Source organism: Homo sapiens, chromosome 17 (assembly GCF_000001405.40).
Source record: "Homo sapiens chromosome 17, GRCh38.p14 Primary Assembly".
Classification (NCBI taxonomy): Eukaryota; Metazoa; Chordata; class Mammalia; order Primates; family Hominidae; genus Homo; species Homo sapiens.
In genome coordinates this window covers 32,506,090-32,523,835 of record NC_000017.11, presented here as the reverse complement: position 1 = coordinate 32,523,835, position 17,746 = coordinate 32,506,090, and the positions used below count along the sequence as shown (strand labels likewise).

General features: G+C 47.4%; 1 protein-coding gene and 2 long non-coding RNA genes across 4 annotated transcripts in view, besides 7 other annotated features; all 3 read left to right on the top strand.

Moving 5' to 3' along the window:
* MYO1D (myosin ID) overlaps nt 1-17,746 on the top strand; it is a 384,603-nt gene that overhangs the window by 353,289 nt on the left and 13,568 nt on the right. The gene's annotated exons all lie outside the window — the stretch shown is intronic.
* Nucleotides 325-847: an enhancer, noted in NCBI's record as "H3K4me1 hESC enhancer chr17:30850007-30850529 (GRCh37/hg19 assembly coordinates)". NCBI's record gives its function as "activates a minimal SCP1, AML or CMV promoter by ChIP-STARR-seq in primed H9 embryonic stem cells {active_cell/tissue: H9 hESC(primed)}" and the evidence as "EXISTENCE:reporter gene assay evidence [ECO:0000049][PMID:30033119]".
* On the top strand, nt 384-13,882 carry LOC105371734 (uncharacterized). Its single transcript, NR_188182.1, has 2 exons — nt 384-439; nt 12,984-13,882. It is a non-coding gene; the product is annotated as an uncharacterized LOC105371734 (long non-coding RNA).
* Nucleotides 848-1,371: an enhancer, noted in NCBI's record as "H3K4me1 hESC enhancer chr17:30849483-30850006 (GRCh37/hg19 assembly coordinates)". NCBI's record gives its function as "activates a minimal SCP1, AML or CMV promoter by ChIP-STARR-seq in naive H9 embryonic stem cells {active_cell/tissue: H9 hESC(naive)}" and the evidence as "EXISTENCE:reporter gene assay evidence [ECO:0000049][PMID:30033119]".
* Nucleotides 4,127-4,556: a silencer, noted in NCBI's record as "silent region_8427". NCBI's record gives its function as "represses an Ori minimal core promoter by ATAC-STARR-seq in GM12878 lymphoblastoid cells {active_cell/tissue: GM12878}" and the evidence as "EXISTENCE:reporter gene assay evidence [ECO:0000049][PMID:35858748]".
* LOC107985012 (uncharacterized) lies at nt 4,310-6,066 on the top strand. Its single transcript, XR_001752828.2, has 2 exons — nt 4,310-5,837; nt 5,875-6,066. It is a non-coding gene; the product is annotated as an uncharacterized LOC107985012 (long non-coding RNA).
* Nucleotides 6,426-6,475: a silencer, noted in NCBI's record as "silent region_8426". NCBI's record gives its function as "represses an Ori minimal core promoter by ATAC-STARR-seq in GM12878 lymphoblastoid cells {active_cell/tissue: GM12878}" and the evidence as "EXISTENCE:reporter gene assay evidence [ECO:0000049][PMID:35858748]".
* Nucleotides 7,303-7,352: an enhancer, noted in NCBI's record as "active region_12034". NCBI's record gives its function as "activates an Ori minimal core promoter by ATAC-STARR-seq in GM12878 lymphoblastoid cells {active_cell/tissue: GM12878}" and the evidence as "EXISTENCE:reporter gene assay evidence [ECO:0000049][PMID:35858748]".
* Nucleotides 7,423-7,592: an enhancer, noted in NCBI's record as "active region_12033". NCBI's record gives its function as "activates an Ori minimal core promoter by ATAC-STARR-seq in GM12878 lymphoblastoid cells {active_cell/tissue: GM12878}" and the evidence as "EXISTENCE:reporter gene assay evidence [ECO:0000049][PMID:35858748]".
* Nucleotides 8,473-8,522: an enhancer, noted in NCBI's record as "active region_12032". NCBI's record gives its function as "activates an Ori minimal core promoter by ATAC-STARR-seq in GM12878 lymphoblastoid cells {active_cell/tissue: GM12878}" and the evidence as "EXISTENCE:reporter gene assay evidence [ECO:0000049][PMID:35858748]".

Below are 17,746 nucleotides of genomic sequence, written 5' to 3'. Positions count from 1 at the left end.
CTCTCACTCCAGGGTTGGCACTCTTTTTTTTTTTTTTTTTTTTTTGAGACAGGGTCTTTTTCTGTTGCCCAGGCTGGAGTGCAGTGGTACAATCACCGTTCACTGCAGCCTCAACTTCCCAGGCTCAGGGACTCAGCCTCCTAAGTAGCTGGGACTATAAGTGCACACCACCATGCCTGGGTAATCTTTTGTAGAGATAGGGTTTCTCCATGTTGCCCAGGCTAGGACTGGCACTCGATTGTAAAGCTCCTCGGGCACTGTTTTGTCATGAGACTGAATGGAATGATTTTTGTAGTCTTCTAAGTCTCCTGTGGAGAGCTTTTCTGTTTCTCATTTGCATCATGCTCTTTCGCTATTCGTGACATTTCGCACTTCTGCCCTTTCCTTTTCTCTCATGGACTCGATGAATGAACACTGAATCGGAAATGTGAAGCCCAAGGTGAGAGTTTCACTTCCACCCCTAAGTGCTCTTGACAATTCATAACCTCTTTGGGCCTGGTTTCTTGTCTGTAAAAGGAAGTTGGGTCAGAGCCAAAGCCCACCCCTGTGCTAAATACCTTTCTTCTCTTTCCCCTCCCCCACCTGCCTTCCCATCTCTTTTCCCTTCCTTCTCTTGCTGTCCACTGGCAAGCCCTGAGTCCTACCTGATCCTCTTTCCTCCCATGTGGTAGGCAGGCAAAGGCAGTGGCGTTAGTTGCACTGCTGTCTAAGAGGCATGGGGGGCCAGGCGTGGTTGCTCACGCCTGTAATCCCAGCACTTTGGGAGGCCAAGGTGGGCAGATCACAAGGTCAGGAGATCGAGACCATCCTGGCTAACATGGTGAAACCCCGTCTCTACTAAAATACAAAAAACTAGCCGGGCATGGTGGCAGGCACCTGTAGTCCCAGCTACTCGGGAGGCTGAGGCAGGAGAATGGCGTGAACCCAGGAGGCGGAGCTTGCAGTGAGCCGAGATCGCACCACTGCACTCCAGCCTGGGCGACAGAGCGAGACTCCATCTCAAAAAAAAAAAAAAAAGACATGGGGGACACTAAGACTGAGGAGCCTGACAGCCACATGATGCTCCTAATGGAGTCCACAGGCAGCACTGGCCCTCCTCAGTGGGTAATGAGCAAAAGCTGGCTGTGTGACTCCTCTACCCCACTCGTTTTTCCGTGTTCTTCATGTCATTAGGGTCCTCATACTGCCCCTTAGCTCACCCTCCTGCTTTGTGCCAGGCCATCCTAGCCTCCTCCAGTCCCTCCCCACCTTAGCATCACCTCTCAGTGCTCTGTGCCTCATCCCCTGGGAACTCTGCTGTCTATTTAGGAAACAGTGCATCATGTCTTCCTAATATGTTCACTATGCATCCCTTCCAGCCACTATAATGCTTTAACTCATTGTAAGTCAGCAGCTAGAACTTAAGGCCTTCAAGAAACTAGAGTAGTTTGGGACAAAATTCTTTCATTCTGACCACCAATGGGGGACCCATTTTTGGTGAAAAGGCTTTCATTATAACCCTGAACTCTGTGGTTTCAACTCAGCATTAGGCCACAGCATCAGGCCTTTAGTGGTGAGATGGAAGCAGGGATAGCAAATTATGTCATAATCCATGAAGAGAATTTATTTCATACCTCTATCATTTTTAGTTAATGTTTTGCTTGATTAATTTTAATTATTTGCTCCTAGAGGATATGTAAATTTTATTCGACCTGAATATTTGGAATATTTCAGAGAAACTGAGTTTTGCTTTTTTTTTTTTTTTTTTTTTTTTTGAGACAGAGTCTCACTCTGTCGCCCAGGCTGGAGTGCAATGGCATGATCTCAGCCCACTGCAACTTCTGCCCGCTGGGTTCAAGCAATTCTCCTGCCTCAGCCTCCTGAGTAGCTGGGATTACAGGCGCCTGCCACTGCACCTGGCTAATTTTTGTATTTTTGGTAGAGACAGGGTTTCACCATCTTGGCCAGGCTGGTCTTGAACTTCTGACTTCATGATTCCCCCACCTCGGCCTCCCAAAGTGCGGGGATTACAGGCGTGAGCCACCGCGCCTGGCCTAATTTTTTTATTTTTAGTAGAGAAGAGTTTTCACCATGTTAGTCAGGCTGGTCTTGAACTCCTGACTTCATGATCTGCCTGCCTTGGCCTCCCAAAGTGCTGAGATTATGGGCGTGCGCCACCGCACCTGGCCCTGAGATTTATTTATTTAATCCAGGTTGGCTGGCTAGGGTTCTATGGACCAAGAAGTACTCACCACCCACATCTCAGCAAATTAATGTTTTCCCGAAACATTTTAAATTATTGATCATGAATTTCACTAGCATCTATATTTAAATATTCCTTGACGCTATGGCTACTAAACACAGGAGCAATTTGTATGAGGAACTGAAAATTCCTCCTTAACCTCCTCACTGTTCTTTTCAGTTTGTTCCTGATTATGCGGGAATTTACAGGCCTTCATCACATGAAGTCTGCCTCTACAGAAAGACTGCTTTACTCTTCACTATCATAGCACTCATGAGTGCTATGAGAGACAATATGCGTTTTTTGAGCCTTCTCTTCCCTATTTTAGGTGTGTTTCTAAGGAGTAGGTTGGTTGTCATGGTTCAGGATGGAAGAATACTGGAGTAGGCAGCGGAGGGAGGCAGGCCATCTGGCCCTGAGGGAGGGGTCTTTAGGAAATCAGTAGACAGCCTGCTGGCCAGAAGATTTTAGATGTGTTCTTGCTTAAAGCTGAACTCAAGGTCGGATCTTTTCTCAAGGCCCAGTTCTAGACTTCTAACCTTCCAAACTGAGGTCTGATCTTTTGGGTAAGCCAATGGAAACATTGTGTGTTATCTCTAGATTTTGCTGAACAAAGGGGCGCGATTCCCCGCCCTATGTTCTCAGCAGCTGAGTCCTACCATTCCCTGATTGATTTCCACCCCCTGCCATTCCCAATACCGCCTGCAAAGAAGATGAACTTTGTCAGTCACCTTTGAATATGGTGCAGTTTGAATTCTGGAATGCAGGAATAACAGCAGTTCACGCGTATTATTTTTATTCATCATTTTTCTGTCAGTGGCTGTGTCAAGGCCCTGGGATACCACAGTGGCTTCTAGGATAACCAAAGAACACATATGACTCTTAGGATGGACGTAGCATCATGTCTAGATGAACAGAAGAGTGGTTAGGAAATGGCACTCCAGTCAGACCCATGACCTGTATCGGGGGAGCCCCACAGCAGCGCGAGCAGGGCAGTCGGGAGGCAGCTCCCTGCCAGCCCACACCAACCTGTCACACGCCTATTATTCATCGACATGCCTCTCTATTATAATCTCACAAAGCATGGTGCTCCAGACCCAGGACAGATATGTCATAAAGGTGGGACTTTGCCTGATGGATAAAAAGACCTATGTTCCTGCCCCCGTTTTGCTATTCGCTGAGTTTTCAAAACCTCCCCAGCCACACCCCTTGGCTCTTTGTGTGACTTCATAGCAAGGCATTCGTGCTAACAGGATGTTTCTGGGCCCAGTCGCTATTGCTTTCCGGAGGCTGACCTCGGGAAGTCCTCTGTGTGGACTTTGTGCACAGCGGCAGGGTCCATCACCCTCAGCTAGTGTGCGGCAGGTCCCGGGGCTCAGCAGTTACAGGGATGGTTCAGACCGGTTTCCACCCTCACAGAGTACAGTCTCATGAGCCTTTCCCTGTTCGTGCTGAAATACAGTTTAAGAGATGATACCATGAGTTTGGGCTTTGAATAAGAAAAAGAAAAAGGTGCACAGATTGATTTTCTTTTTCTGGAGCAGGAATCTGAGCAGGAAAAGTGTCACGTAAAGCAAACTGCTGCAGTATGGCTCCTGTGGGCCTGAGTCTTCAGGGTTTCCACTAATCCTATTTCACATGGCTGCGGGGGTAGCCCTTTCTCCTCCCTTCTTAACTATTTCTGGCTAAGACATCGCCCTGGTTTTTTTTTTTAAAAAAAAAAAGCCTGCTGTTTACCCACATCTCCATTGTTCAATGTTTTTGTCTTATATTCTTAATGTTTTTGTCTTATATTGATCCTGTACCCTTAGCTGACCCAAGTCCCCATCCCCTTCCTTTTCAGCAACGCAGTGAGCTCATCAATATGCCAGCAGATGATCTAAGCCCCAAATCATCACCTTCTCGGGAAAGACAGACAAACAAAAACAGCCGGAAGGAGGGCGGGCAGGCGGGCTGGGAGGGGCTGTCGGCGGCGAGGCGGAGAAGCGCGGCCGGCCGGGGCTGCGGGGGGCTGCAAGGAGGGCGTGTGCGCTGGCGCTCGGGCTCGGGCAGCGGCTTCGTTTCAGCCGCGGGCGCTGGGGCCGGCGTTGCCTTGGCGACCGCGTCGCGCTCGAAGCCGCAGCCTCCGCCCCCGCCGCCGCCGCCAGAGCCCACCCGGCGGGTGCAGATTCCCTTTGTCTCCTCCGCCTCCCCTCCTCCCTGCTTCCCTGCGTCCTCCCCCTCCCGCCTTTCCTTTGTCGCCCCGGATTCCCCGGCAGCCGCCCTTCCTGCGCTCCGCTCCCGCTGCAGGTGCCCGGGGCCGCGAGGACAGGCCTCGCCGCCACCCCCACCCGGCCTGCCCAGTGCCTGGCATGAAACCAGTGTTTCCAAAAGCGGTGCCGGGCTGAAGCGCCGCACAGGAACTTGCTTCCCTCACCTGGGCGGCCTCGCTGGCCTCTAGCCGGCCTGTACCGCGCATAGCAGAGCTAGGAGACATGACAGCCGCCCCCTTTAAGGACCCAAGAGATTCCCCACGGACCTCTTCCCCTTCCTTCCGTTTGAGAGGGAGCGGTGTCACTTGGTGAGAGGGAGGAGACGGGAGGAAAAGGAGGTGAGACTCGACGTCCAGTGCCCTCTTGGCCTGGCTTGCTCGGCCTTCCCTGCAGCGAGGCGGGGCGCACATCCCCTACCCGGGCCGCAGAGAACCTGTCGGCCGCCGAGTTCTGCAGCTCGATGGCATTGCGAGGCCGAAAGCAGAATTTCCAGGACCTCTGAGAGTTGAAGTCGTTATTCGGGGGGAGGGGATTCTGTGAGCAAAATGTGCTGCTGTTAGCATTCACGGTCACCTGGTGATGAAGAGTGCTGGGGATTTGGCCACAGTAATGGCCCTAACCCAGAACCCTCTTTGTCCTGGAGCAACATAGCAGCTCTAGTGGCAGTGGCGTCAAACATCAGATTGGCTCATATTCTAGCCGATACCCTCTTAGTGTGTGCCAGTCTTAGTGTTGACTGATACACCCTAAGTGGGACTGTGGTTGCTCATGAGGAGGGAAACCGAGGCCAGGTGATAGGGGTGGAAGGAAACACGCTTTCCCTCTAAATGCTTTGGGACCTGTGAATATCATACCATGTGCATTTCTTATTCACTCTTTAAAATCAAATGTTTTTAATATCACTTCTTCAAGAAAGTGTTCACTGACTCCCCCGAGAGTAAATAAGATAGATTAGGTTTCCCGTCACGATTCCATTGCAGTCTGTACTTTTACCGCGAGAGCTCTTCGCAGAATTATGAATAAACAGTAATGAGTGTGCAACTCATGTTTACAAGAGTCTTCCACACCAGGCTCTGAGCTCCATGAGGGCAGGAGCAAGACCTGGCTTATGCATCACTGTTCCACAAGGGCTGACACACAGGCTTTAGCCAATGTTTGTTGACGAAAGAAATGAGAAGGGGACAAGAAAGAGGGTGATGGCGGAGTGGTGGACCAGGTGCTGTCCAGAGGGTGATGACAGAGTGGCAGGCCAGGTGCTGTCCAGAGGGTGATGGCAGAGTGGCAGGCCAGGTGCTGTCCAGAGGGTGATGGCAGAGTGGCGGGCCAGGTGCTGTCCAGAGGGTGATGGCAGAGTGGCGGGCCAGGTGCTGTCCAGAGGGTGATGGCAGAGTGGCGGGCCAGGTGCTGTCCAGAGGGAGAGCCGGGGTGGCAGGAGGGGTGCCCATCTCCACATCCTCCTCTGAGCTCTGTGACCCTTGGGGGCTCAGCCGCTCCTTCACAGGCACTTCTAGAATGTTGTTCCAAATCATTCTTGTAATTCTTCTTTCTAGTATATGTTTAAAAATTGTCATAATAAAAAGTGTGATAAATCAATTAAATTGTATGTAAGGGGAATCCTATCATGTGCTAGGCCAGTTCCCAGGCAGCTAATTGGAGCATTTATCTGAAGCAAAGCGGGGCCAGCTCTTCTTCCGGTCGTTCCCAGGGAGGGTGATGCTTAAACGGTTTAAAGCGGTGGTGCACAGGAAAATCACCCAGGGAGCTTTAACAACGCGACATTCAGGGGTCCACAGGCAGACCAATTGAAGCAGAGTCTCTGGGGTTGGAGCCTGACCACTGCTAGGGCCAGTATTTTTCATAAGCTTAACGTGCAATCAAGGTTGAGAATCTTTGCTCTATGGGCTCCCAGAGACAGACAAGAGGAAGTGGGGACACACTCACCAAACCCAAAGATTCCATTTCAGCTGTAAAGCTGACACTGATACACTTGAGGCTAGACAAAGAGGCTGTTTGCTTCAGCCCACTTCAGATTGTTTCAGTACTGCTCATATGACTTCTCTTTGCCTTAAAATGCCTCCGGATCCCATCCTGTGACAGTCATTTAAAACAAATGTGTAACTGCCTAATCAGGGCACAAACCATTTTTCAGATTTGCCTGGGCAGCAGTGACCTAAATATTACCCAGGGTGTCTGACTTCCAGCTCCAGAGGAAGAATGTATTTGGTTTGATTGTTTTCATGCCAATAAAGTTGGGCCAGTAATTCAAGGTCCCCATTGGGATAGCTGAATCCTTCGATGCTATAAATTAGTTCTTTAGAAAGCAGTGGTGTCGTTTTTATTGAATTGTTCACCTTCCAATGGAATCACTATGCACCCACGCTAATTTGTTGTGCCATTGTTAATGGATATAAGATAAAAGGAGCAGGAACTGGAGAGGATGGTGGAAGTGGCCCAGCCCATTTACACCAGCCAGGTATGTGGAGTAAATCTTGGGAAAATGTGTCTATTTAATCCACTTACAAGCCAAATGGTGTAGCAAGTAGCAGCAGATCCATTCTGCTCTCTCTCTCCCAGGTAACAATGCAGGCAGTAAATAAGGCCTGTATTAGAAGCCACTAAAGCTGTAAACACACACAGCAGGGAAATTTGCCTAAACTGCCCACTGAGGTATCAGATGCAATTGGCCTTCTATTGGAAGTGTGTCTGCGCTCAAGGGCAAGCCAAATTTGGCAAGAAGCCATGTGGAGACACTTCACATTTAAATCTTCTACGAGACTGGGGGCAGGGAGACAAAGGTTCCTCTGGGGCTCTCAAATCCAATTGGTGATTCCAGAGAAAATGGGGACTCTTCATGGCAGGCAGGAAAAGGGGAAATGTGGCCTGAGAGAACCCACACTTTCCCAGCCAGCAAGCTCCAGCCTGGATCAAAACAACCCATTTCTGGGAACTTAAAATAAAAAATAAGAGAGCAGTCAAATGAACTTGAGACCCCCACAGGGCCTTTCATGTGTCTACCAGCAGCAGCATGGTGAGTGGTTTCTGTGATGTGGGATTCCAGGGCAAGAGGCACTGGACCATGGCCACTGGTTCATCTCTCATTATAGGCCAGAAATAGATGCCCCATCCCAGGAAAAGGGAAATAAGGCTGCATGGAATGTTTCATCTGTTGGAATATTGTTCTGCTCTGCCTGACAAGATTACTGAGTTCTCAGTTCTGTAGCAATGGCATTGAGTAAGAGTCTGAAAATTGATGCATTATGTACTCGCTTAAAATAGCAAATGCAGAATAGAAAAAGCAAAGCTGCTAGGAAGTGTGCAGAACATATTGATAGAAAGGCCTGCTTTGCCTCTGTCATTACCAGCATGAAAGTGTGTATCGGAGCAGGGGGTAGACTTTCCATCAGAAGCATCTGAGCAGTGGAGGCTCTTTTACCGCAATGAGACAAGGGTACATTTTTTTAGCTGACATAAGTGAGTGTAAATCTTTCTGTTCTCAAACAGGTGGTAGAAAGTGGGCAATTTGTTTCTTTTCATCTCCGTGTTCTGGGCTTGGTTTATGAGATAGCTGCCTCTGTTTTAACTTCTTTGAATTCCCCTCAGAACAAAAATCCCCCACCACCTGCTACTTAATCAAATATTCTTCACTGTGGATTATAGTTGCCTGGATGGGAGCAAGGTTCAGTGACAGTGTGATGGAAAATATCCAAAAAGAACTATGTCGTCAGCCCCAAGAAGAAAGCATTATCCTTTGTCCTTAAAAATGGGATTTAAGGCTGGGCACAGTGGCTCACACCTGTAATACCAACACTTTGGGAGGCTGAGGCAAGAGGATTGCTTGAGCCTAGGAGTTTAAGACAAGCCTGGGCAACAAAGCGAGACCCTGTCTCTACAAAAAATCAAAAAATTAGCCGGGCATGGAGGCACATACTTGTGGTCCCAGCTATATAGGAGGCTAAGGCAGGAAGATGACTTCACCAGGAGGTGAAGACTGCAGTAGGCCATGGCTGGGGGACTGGGCGAGACTCTATGTCAAAGAAAAGACAGGAGGAGGGAATTTAAAAATACTGAATAACAAGTTAAAAAGTCCTTCTGGAATCGACAAGCCTTTTTGCCCTGGAAGGTGGCATAGTTGCTTCTTAGGGGAATATCCGTGGTCAGGGACAGAGGCCTTGAGAGGCTGGGCAAAGGTCCTTTCAGCCCTGGTTTCATTCGTCTAACCAGCATTCCACTCTAACAGCCTCCTCCATTCAAGCGCTTACTCCATTAACAAACATTAATGGGGCACTTACTCGATGCCAGGCATGGCACTAGCCACTGTGCATATATTTTCTCCTTTAACTCTCTAGAAAAAAGAACATTATCCCTGTTCATTATCCCAGTTAAGGAAACTGAGTTTAAAAGGATTAAGTAACTGCCCAGAGCCAGACAGCTAGATTTGAACCCTAAACTATTGATTCCAAACCTTGTATTCTTCCCACTATGCCTCCATTGTCTCCTCTTTTGATTAAGCAACATTCCTAGAAATACAGGGAACCTGGAAGGCCCCTGTCCGCATCTCTTTCCTGCTGCTGCTGCCAGCTGGAATGTCTGACTCCCGGATGTGTTATAACTAAACTTCTAAAAGAACGATCAGTATCTGAGAAAAATCCCTTTTTTCAAGCTCAGCAAGCAATGTGATGTACTAACAGCCCCTCATCGTGATTCAAACTAACTATAATTTACCCATTGTTGTTGGACATTGACTAGTTTCCAAATTTTTATAGGTCACCACGATTTTGGAGAGTGTGACCTGCTATTTGCAAAGCAAGGATTAGACTTTCCCTCCTTTCCCCTTTATAATTTGCACTATTGCTTCTAAGAATAGTGTTTTTTAAAGTTTGGACATTTTCAGATAAAGATTGCTGGAAATAATAGTGTGAAAAATATTTTTTAAATAAAAGACTAACATTGAATAAAAAGATAGAAATCTTGGGCATCCGCGGTGGCTTACACCTGTAATCCCAGCACTTCGGGAAGCCAGTGTGGAAGGATGGCTTGAGCCCAGGAGTTCAAGACCAGCCAGGGCAACATAGGAAAACCCTGTCTCTACGATTTTTTTTTTTTTTTTTTTTTTTTTTTTTTTTGAGACAAAGTCTTGCTCTGTCGCCCAGGCTGGAGTGCAGTGGCACAATCTCAGCTGACTACAATCTCTACCTGTGGATTTAAGCAGCTCCCTGCCTCAGCCTCCCGAGTAACTAGGATTACAGGCACATGCCACTATGCCTGGCCAATTTTTGTATTTTTAGTAGAGACGGAGTTTCACTATCTTGGCCAGGCTGGTCTTGAACTCCTGACCTCATGATCTACCCGCCTCAACCTCCCAAAGTGCTGGGATTACAGACATGAGCCACCATGCCCGGCCAAAAAAATTTTTTTAATTAGCATGGTGGTGTATGCCTGTAGTCCCAGAAGGCTGCAGTGAGCCATGCTCACACCCTATACTCCAGCCTGGGCAACAGAGCAAGATCCTGTCTACAAAAAAAAAAAAAAGAAAGAAAGAAATCTTAAGGCGTTTGGGGTGGGTGAGAATGACAGCCAGGTTGCTGAGACACAGCTGTGCGGGCAGGCTTACCATTTCAACTCTAAATTTTCAAATTCTAGACTTTATTTGCTGTCACTTAATATAGCACAGCATCACTGTAATATTGTAAGTGCTGATTTTATAATAGAATTTTCTTACAAAAATAGGTTTTGTGAAACAATTTTGATACATGATAAACTGTTTTGACATATGATCTACCTTGCTGGATTACATCTATTCCTTTAAGGGAGAGAGAGCACTGAGCCCTGTGTACTCCTGGGTCTACATGGTATATAGTGAAACCCTTTGCATCCTTTTCCAGAGGAAGTCAAACTCAACACTGTCCAAAAAACAAACTCATTCTCTCTTTCCACCTCCTTCTCCATCACATGAGCTCAAAACCTGAAGACATGGTAGAGTCTCCCTCTTATCACCCACATTCAGCCAGTCGCCACGTTCTCACTCCTAAGCGTCTCTCCAGCGGGACCCCACTCTTGCCCTCTCATGATCACAGCTCTTTCTGCCTTGACTTACAGTTTCCTAATTGGTCATCCTACCTCAAAATGCCCCCATCAGTCAACAGTCTATCTGCCATACCTCCTAGTTTATCTCTATCAATTTCATGTATTGGCTCTTTATTAAGCACCTACTGTATACCACACCCTCTTTTAGGTACGGGGGATACAGACAAGGTCCCCCTTCCCATGGAGCTTACCTTTGGGCAGGGGATAGAAGCTATAGGAGACGGACAGTTAACCAACTAAGTATCAAACAAGTCAATTTCAGTTAGTGGTAAGCACACTGAAGAAAACAAAGTATTATCTATTTTCTGTCTTCAAGAATCCTTGGCTGGGTGTGGCCAGGCTTCAAGGTGCCTGAAATGTAGCCCCCACTCATCTTGAACTCATTGTCAAGTCCTCCTCATCCTCCAAAGGGCAGCTCATCGCCTTCTTGTCTGTAGGGTCTTGGAGACCACTGTGGCTGGAGAAGCCCAGTTAGGCTTCAGGGAGAAAGGACAGGTAGAGCTTGAGGGACGTTATTAAAGGAAGGAGAGACACTGGCTGAGCAGGTGAGTCACCTTCAGCCCTGGTACACCAGGCTGTCTCCCTTGGCACCCTGTTCAGTGGCTCTGTCTTCATCCCTATCTGTGGGGAGTAGCACGAGGATGAGAAATCCTGACATGCTGTGGACCCAGTGCTGAGAGCCTAGTTTATTCCAGTGATGCATGTGCATAGCAAAGCCACGCAAAGCCAGGACACAGCCTAAGAGGCCACACCCTTGCAGGGAGCAGGCAGAAGTCCTGGGCACCTCCCTCCACCCTGGGCCTGCTTAGTGCCCTCTAGACCTTCTGTGATGCTGACTCTGTTGCACCTGATACAGTAGCTCAGGAAGCCTCCTTCCCCAGGCTCTGAGCTTTTTTGAGAACTGAGGCCTTTTTATTATTTATCTTGCATCCCAGAAGATGCAGATGTTTCATGATGGCTCTTTTTTTTTTTTTTATGAGATAAGAGTTTCACTCTTGTCGCCCAGGCTGGAAGGCAGTGGCGCCATCTCTGCTCACTGCAACCTCTGCCTCCTGGGTTCAAGTGATTCGCCTGCCTCAGCCTCCCAAGTAGCTGGGATTACAGGCATGCACCACCACACCTGGCTAATTTTGTATTTTTAGTAGAGATGGGGTTTCACCATGTTGGTCCGTCTGGTCTCGAACACCTGACCTCAGGTGATCCGCCCACCTCGGCCTCCCAAAGTGCTGGGATTACAGACATGAGCTGCCACACCCAGCCAGCTCTCTTTTTAATATATATGTCCCCAGTGTGTTTGTGTGTAGGTGCTAAGTGCTTTCAATGTTCGATTCTCAGGTGGCAGGGACTGGGATCCTGTTAACTCCTCTATCCAGTGACCCACAGCTACACACAAATATAAATTTAAATGCTTCTTGATAATGGTGAGCTGAATAAGCAAATATATAATGGCGTTCCCGACAAACCACTAAAAATCGTCTGTTCAGAGGAAGGTGTGGGTGCTGGTGCATGTTCAGTCCAGTCTTATTTAGCACCTTCATTAATGATGTGAATAGAAAATAAACATTGGTGTTCACAGATGGTGCTAACTTTGGAAATGCTGTTAATAGAAGTGTCAAGAGAGGAGAACAGAAATATAAGCAGGAAATAGCAAAGATGTCCAAAAAAAAAAAAAAGTTCAATACAGCAAAGGCGAAAACCTCTTTCAAACATGTAAAATAAAGCCCTACAGACATTAGAGCAAGAGCATCAAGAGATGAGAAGTTCGCGGGGGGAGCTGGATATGGTTGCTCTGGCCTGTAATCTCAGCACTTTGGGAGGCCAAACCAGCCTGGGCAAGACCAGGCTGGGCAACCTAGTGAGACCCCATCTCTACAGGAAATTTAAAAAATTAGCCAGGCATGGTAGCACACACCTGTAGTCCCAGCATCTCAGGTGGCTGAAATGGAAGGATTGCTTGAGCTCGGGCGTTTGAGGCTGCAGTGAACTATGATCATGCCACAACACTCCAGCCTGAGCAACAGAGCAGCAAGACCCTGTTTCCAAAAAAAAAAACAGAGTGAGCGAGAGAAGTTTAAGGAGAGTAGGGGAGGTAGAAGAAGGAAGAGACGTGAAGAGAAGGGGAGGAAAGGACAGATGTCCTCTGATTGATGTGGGAGGGTCTCAAGGCTCCAGAGCCCACTTCCCTCTTGAGGGTCAGATGCTGGCCCAGGCGTCCCACTGAGGTGGCCCCAGCCCTCTGCTCACAACTGCTGTCTCATTTGTTTTGTGATGGGGCTTTGGTTTGGTTTGGTGGTATTCTGTTTCTTTTTTTTTTTTTTTCTTCCCTCATACTTGAGGGAGCTGTGGGTATAGTTTTGTTCTTTAACTCTGGTTTTGAAAGGTTTCATTATGCCTGGCATAAAGTATTAATTTGGGCATTTTGGCAGGGTCAGAGGAATGCAGCCTTTAAAGAGTACAGATTCCAAATAGACAAAGCAAAATGGAGCTTCCTCAACACCTCCAAGTCTGATGTTGGTGGAGGGGAAGCAAAAGAGAGAACCGACGCAGGGGTCGCCAGGCCTCTCCCGGGAGCCATCAGGCCACCTCCAGTGCACCGAGTCCCTGCCTGGCCCACCTTGCCAGGGGAAGCCTGCTGAGGCACAAAGCATACGAAGCTTTTGGTTGACAAAAACGGAAACCAGGAGTCTCCATGGAGTACTCCTCAGGGACTGCAGCTGGAAAGTCAAGACAAAGATGTGTGCTGGAGAATAGTAAAAAATGCATACAAATTCTCCAAGCACCAGGAGAGTGCCTCTTTCTTTAGCAGCCTGGAATCATCTATGCCTGGAAACATCAATGTCTTCTGGCCAGACAAAGGCCAAGGAGTGAAAGGCGCTATGCCCAGCAAGAAAAACTTACAAGTGGTGAAAGTGCCTGTGCAGGGAGGGGGTCAGGGGCTGGGTCAGAATGTCCAAACCTCAGCATCGTTACAGGAGGTTCAAAGTGCCTTTTCCTCTGACTCAGAAGCACCTGGTATTAAAGAATTCCATGCTGCAGAGGCTATGCTCCACGCAAGAGCTAGAACAGCATTTTAGGGTGGAAACTAAATGGAATGGAGGCGCAAATGCTGTTGAGGAGACAGTTGCCCTGGGCCAGGTCCTAGCCTCACCTTCCAGCTGCAAGAAGTTGCTTGAGCTTTCTACGCTTCTGCACCCTCATCTATAAAGTGAACAGAATGACAGTGCCCCATAATGACAGCTTTGATAAGGATTAAATGAAATTAAGTATGTAAAATGTTTAATACAGTGCCTAGTAAATTCTTAATAAATAAATGGATGACAGTGAATTTCAACCTTCTCCTCCCAATCTAAGACCCCTTTACAACTCCGCAGGCATGCTGCTGAGGAGCTCCAGGCCCATATATTTCACTAGAAATATCTGCCCACATACTTTGGGAGGCCGAGGCGGGCAGATCATGAGGTCAGGAGATCGAGACCATCCTGGCCAACATGGTGAAACCCCGTCTCTACTAAAAATACAAAAATTAGCTGGGTGTGGTGGCGCACGCCTATAGTCCCAGCTACTCAGGAGGCTGAGGCAGGGGAATTGCCTGAACCTGGGAGGCGGAGGTTGCAGTGAGCCGGAATCGATCGCACCACTGCACTCCAGCCTGGTGACAGAGCAAGACTCTGTCTCAAAAAAAAAAAGAAAGAAAAAAAGAAATATCTGCCCACATTTCTGAAGCTATTACTGAGAAATCTGCATGGAGCCAGTGCAGTGTCTGCTCGTCTCCATTAAACCTCAGGACATAAAAATGGCAACATGTTTATCGATACAATTCCCGGAGCTTCTCTAACCTTGCATATGTGCTTCCAAAGCCCATCAGTCCAAATGTTTTCCATCCTACCAAATGTTTTTATTTCACTGAAAACTTCATTAGCAGTGGGGAGGCAGCAGCTAATACAGGGATGTTTGGGTTTACAAAGCAAGGTAATGACTCACTTTGCAAGAGGGTTCTTCAGTTCCCAAAAGGCACCCCTTGAACAGTGAGTGTCCCTAGTGCCTCTTCATATGTTTTCATCACACTTGACACATAAACAGCCCCTTACACGGAGCAGGATACCAGGCCGGGACATGTACCCCACCTGACCCTTTGTGTTCAACCCCAGCCCACCGATGGCTCCGCCTCACTTGCCTCACTTCTTAACAACCCTGCTGTGAAGATGGGTGAGGCCAGCCTCATGTCTCCCAGTTGAAGACATGTCTTGTGTTGACATTAGCCCCAGCTGCTTTCTTAATCATGTCATTTTATAAAAATTCATTCTTTCTATAGACATTTATGGAACTCCTATTTTGTATCAGACACTGCACGAGGAGCTGTTGATAGGGACATGAAAGTGCTCAGCTCATCACTCTGCTCAGAAGCACACAGCAAACAGGGACCACGGCTAATGATGTGCTTTTTAGGGGCAGGATGCATAGAGGTTAAGACTTGGACTATGGCCTGGATTGCCTGGGTTCAAATCCTGCCTCTACTCTATCACTTCGGGCAGGCAGGTCCTTAGGCTCTTTGGGCCTTCTCATTTCCTCTTCTGAAAAGGAAATTCACCTCGTGCTGTAGTAAGTCCGTGAATTGATATCTGTAAGGCACTTAGTAAGCACTGTATACTGTTTGACTATTTGTCTTAGTCTGCTCAGGCTGCCATAACAAGATACCATAGACTGGCCAGGGGAGGTGGCTCACACCTGTAATCCTGGTACTTTGGGAGGCCAAGGCAGGTGGACCACTGGAGGTCATGAGTTCAAGAGCAGCCTGGCCAACATACCAAAATTCCGTCTCTAGTAAAAATACAAAAATTAGCTGGGCGTGGTGGTGTGCGCCTGTTAATTCCAGCTACTCGGCAGTCTGAGGCAGGAGAATTGCTTGAACCAGGGAAGCGGAGGTTGCAGTAAGCAGAGATGGCACCACTGTACTCCAGCCTGGGTGACAGAGCAAGACTCTGTCTCAAAAAAAAAAGATACCATAGACTGGGTGGCTTGAACAACAGAAATGTATTTTCTCACAGTTCTGGAGACTAGAAGTCCCAGATAAAAGTCCAGCATGGTGCTGGGTGCAGTGGCTCACACCTGGAATCCCAGCACTTTGGGAGGCCAAGGCGGGCAGATTATGAGGTCAGGAGTTCAAGACCAGCCTGGCCAACATGATGACACCCCGTCTGTACTAAAAATACAAAAATTGCCTGGGCATGGTGGCACATGCCTGTAATCCCAGCTACTCAGGAGGCTGAGGCAGGAGAATCACTTGAACCCAGGAGGCAGAGGATGCAGTGAGCCAAGATCGCGCCATTGCCCTCTAGCCTGGGCGACAGAGCGAGACTCCGTCTCAAAAAAAAAAAAAAAAAAAAAAGTCCAGCATGGTTGGGTTCTGGTGAGGGCTCTCTTCAAGGGTTGCAGACTGCCACCTTCTTTCTGAGTCCTCACGTGGTGGGGAGAGAGAAAGCAAGCACCCTGGTTTCTCTTCTTTCTGTCAGATCAAGGCCCTGCTCCTATGACCTCATTTAACCTTAATGACCTCTGTAAAGCCCAGATCTCACAATACTGTGGTGTTGAAGGCTAGGTCTTCCATATAAGGAATTGGAGGGGACACAATTCAGTCCATAGTACTATTGTTATATTGTTATTTTATTCTCCTTTTATTTGATTTCTAATTTTACTGCACTGTAGACACAGAAGATGGTTTCTATGTGATGCTAATTCACAGGTTGTTATTGAACTTTCTTCTGTGGTCTAGTATGTGTTCTGTGTGTACTTTAGAAGAATGTGTGTTCTCTAATTGTTGAATGTAATGAATACACACACATACACCCAAGTTTTTTGTTTTTGGGGGAGTTTTTTTGAGATAGGGTCTCGCTCTGTCACCCAGATTGGAGTGCAGTGGCACAATCACAGCTCACTGCAGCCTCAACCTCCCAGGCTCAAACAATCTTCCCACCTCAGCCTCCCGAGTAGCTGGAACTATAGGCGTCTGCCACCACACCTGGCTAGTTTTTTTTTTATTTTTTGTAAAGACAGGGTCTCATTCTGCTACCCAAGTGGGTCTTGAACTTCTGGGCTCAAGCAGTCCATATCTGCCTCAGCCTCCCAAATTGCTGGGATTATAGGAATGAGCTACCACACCCAGCCTATTTTTACTTTTACTATGATTGTGGACTTGTTATTTTATCTTTGTAAATCATATGTATGAGAGCATCTTCTTGGTAAACTGTTCCTTAATAAATAAACAAAACAATTATCTAATGAACTTTTTTTTAATTTTCCTGAGACAGGGTCTCACTCTGTTGCTTGGCCTGGAGTGCAATGGCACAATCATAGCCCATTACAGCCTCAAACTCCTGGGATCAAGTGACCCTCCCACCTCACCCTCCCAAAGTGCTGGGATTACAGGCATGAGCCACTGCACCCGGTCTCTAATGAGCTTTTTCTCCAGCAATGCTTTTCCCCAGCTTTCTTTTGATTAGTATTTGATTTATGTATCATATTCCCTACCTAAACTGTCATCATGATTTAAATGGCATCTGTTACAAGTAGCATATAACTGCATTTTTAAATTAAATCTGAGAAATCCCTTTTAGCCAGAGGTTTGCACATCTAGGTTTACTGTGCTCATTTATATATTTAAATGTATTTATTCCATTATTAGTTTGTGCCTTCTTGTTCCCGTGTTTCTTCTTTGCTACTTTTGTTCCCCTTTCCTGCCTTCTATCTGATGGATCAGATTTGTTTTATACCCTCCCTTCTACTGCTCTGAGAGTTGTACATCACAGTCTACTGTATCTGTTTCCCATTATTATAATTTTTTTGCACTGTGCTTGCCTGAAGGGAGCCTCAAGTTCATGAGTCTCCCTACCCTCCTCCCAAATGAGACATGGACCTTTGAATGCTTTCCTGGGACCACCACCCCACCTTTCATGCTGCTGTTATCCAGGATTTTAGTTCAACAGTGTTTTAACCCCCCAAATGAGTCATTTTTATTGTTTCGTATAGTGAATGTGTATTTGGGTTTGCTTATATGGTGACCTGTTTATTTGCTCCTCATTGTACCTCATGCTCTGCTCTTTCCTTCTAGATTCAGTCTCTTTCCTAATGAGGTGTCTCGCAGCAATTCTTTACAAGACAGCCAAGATAGGCCAGCTCTCAGAGCACTTGTTGT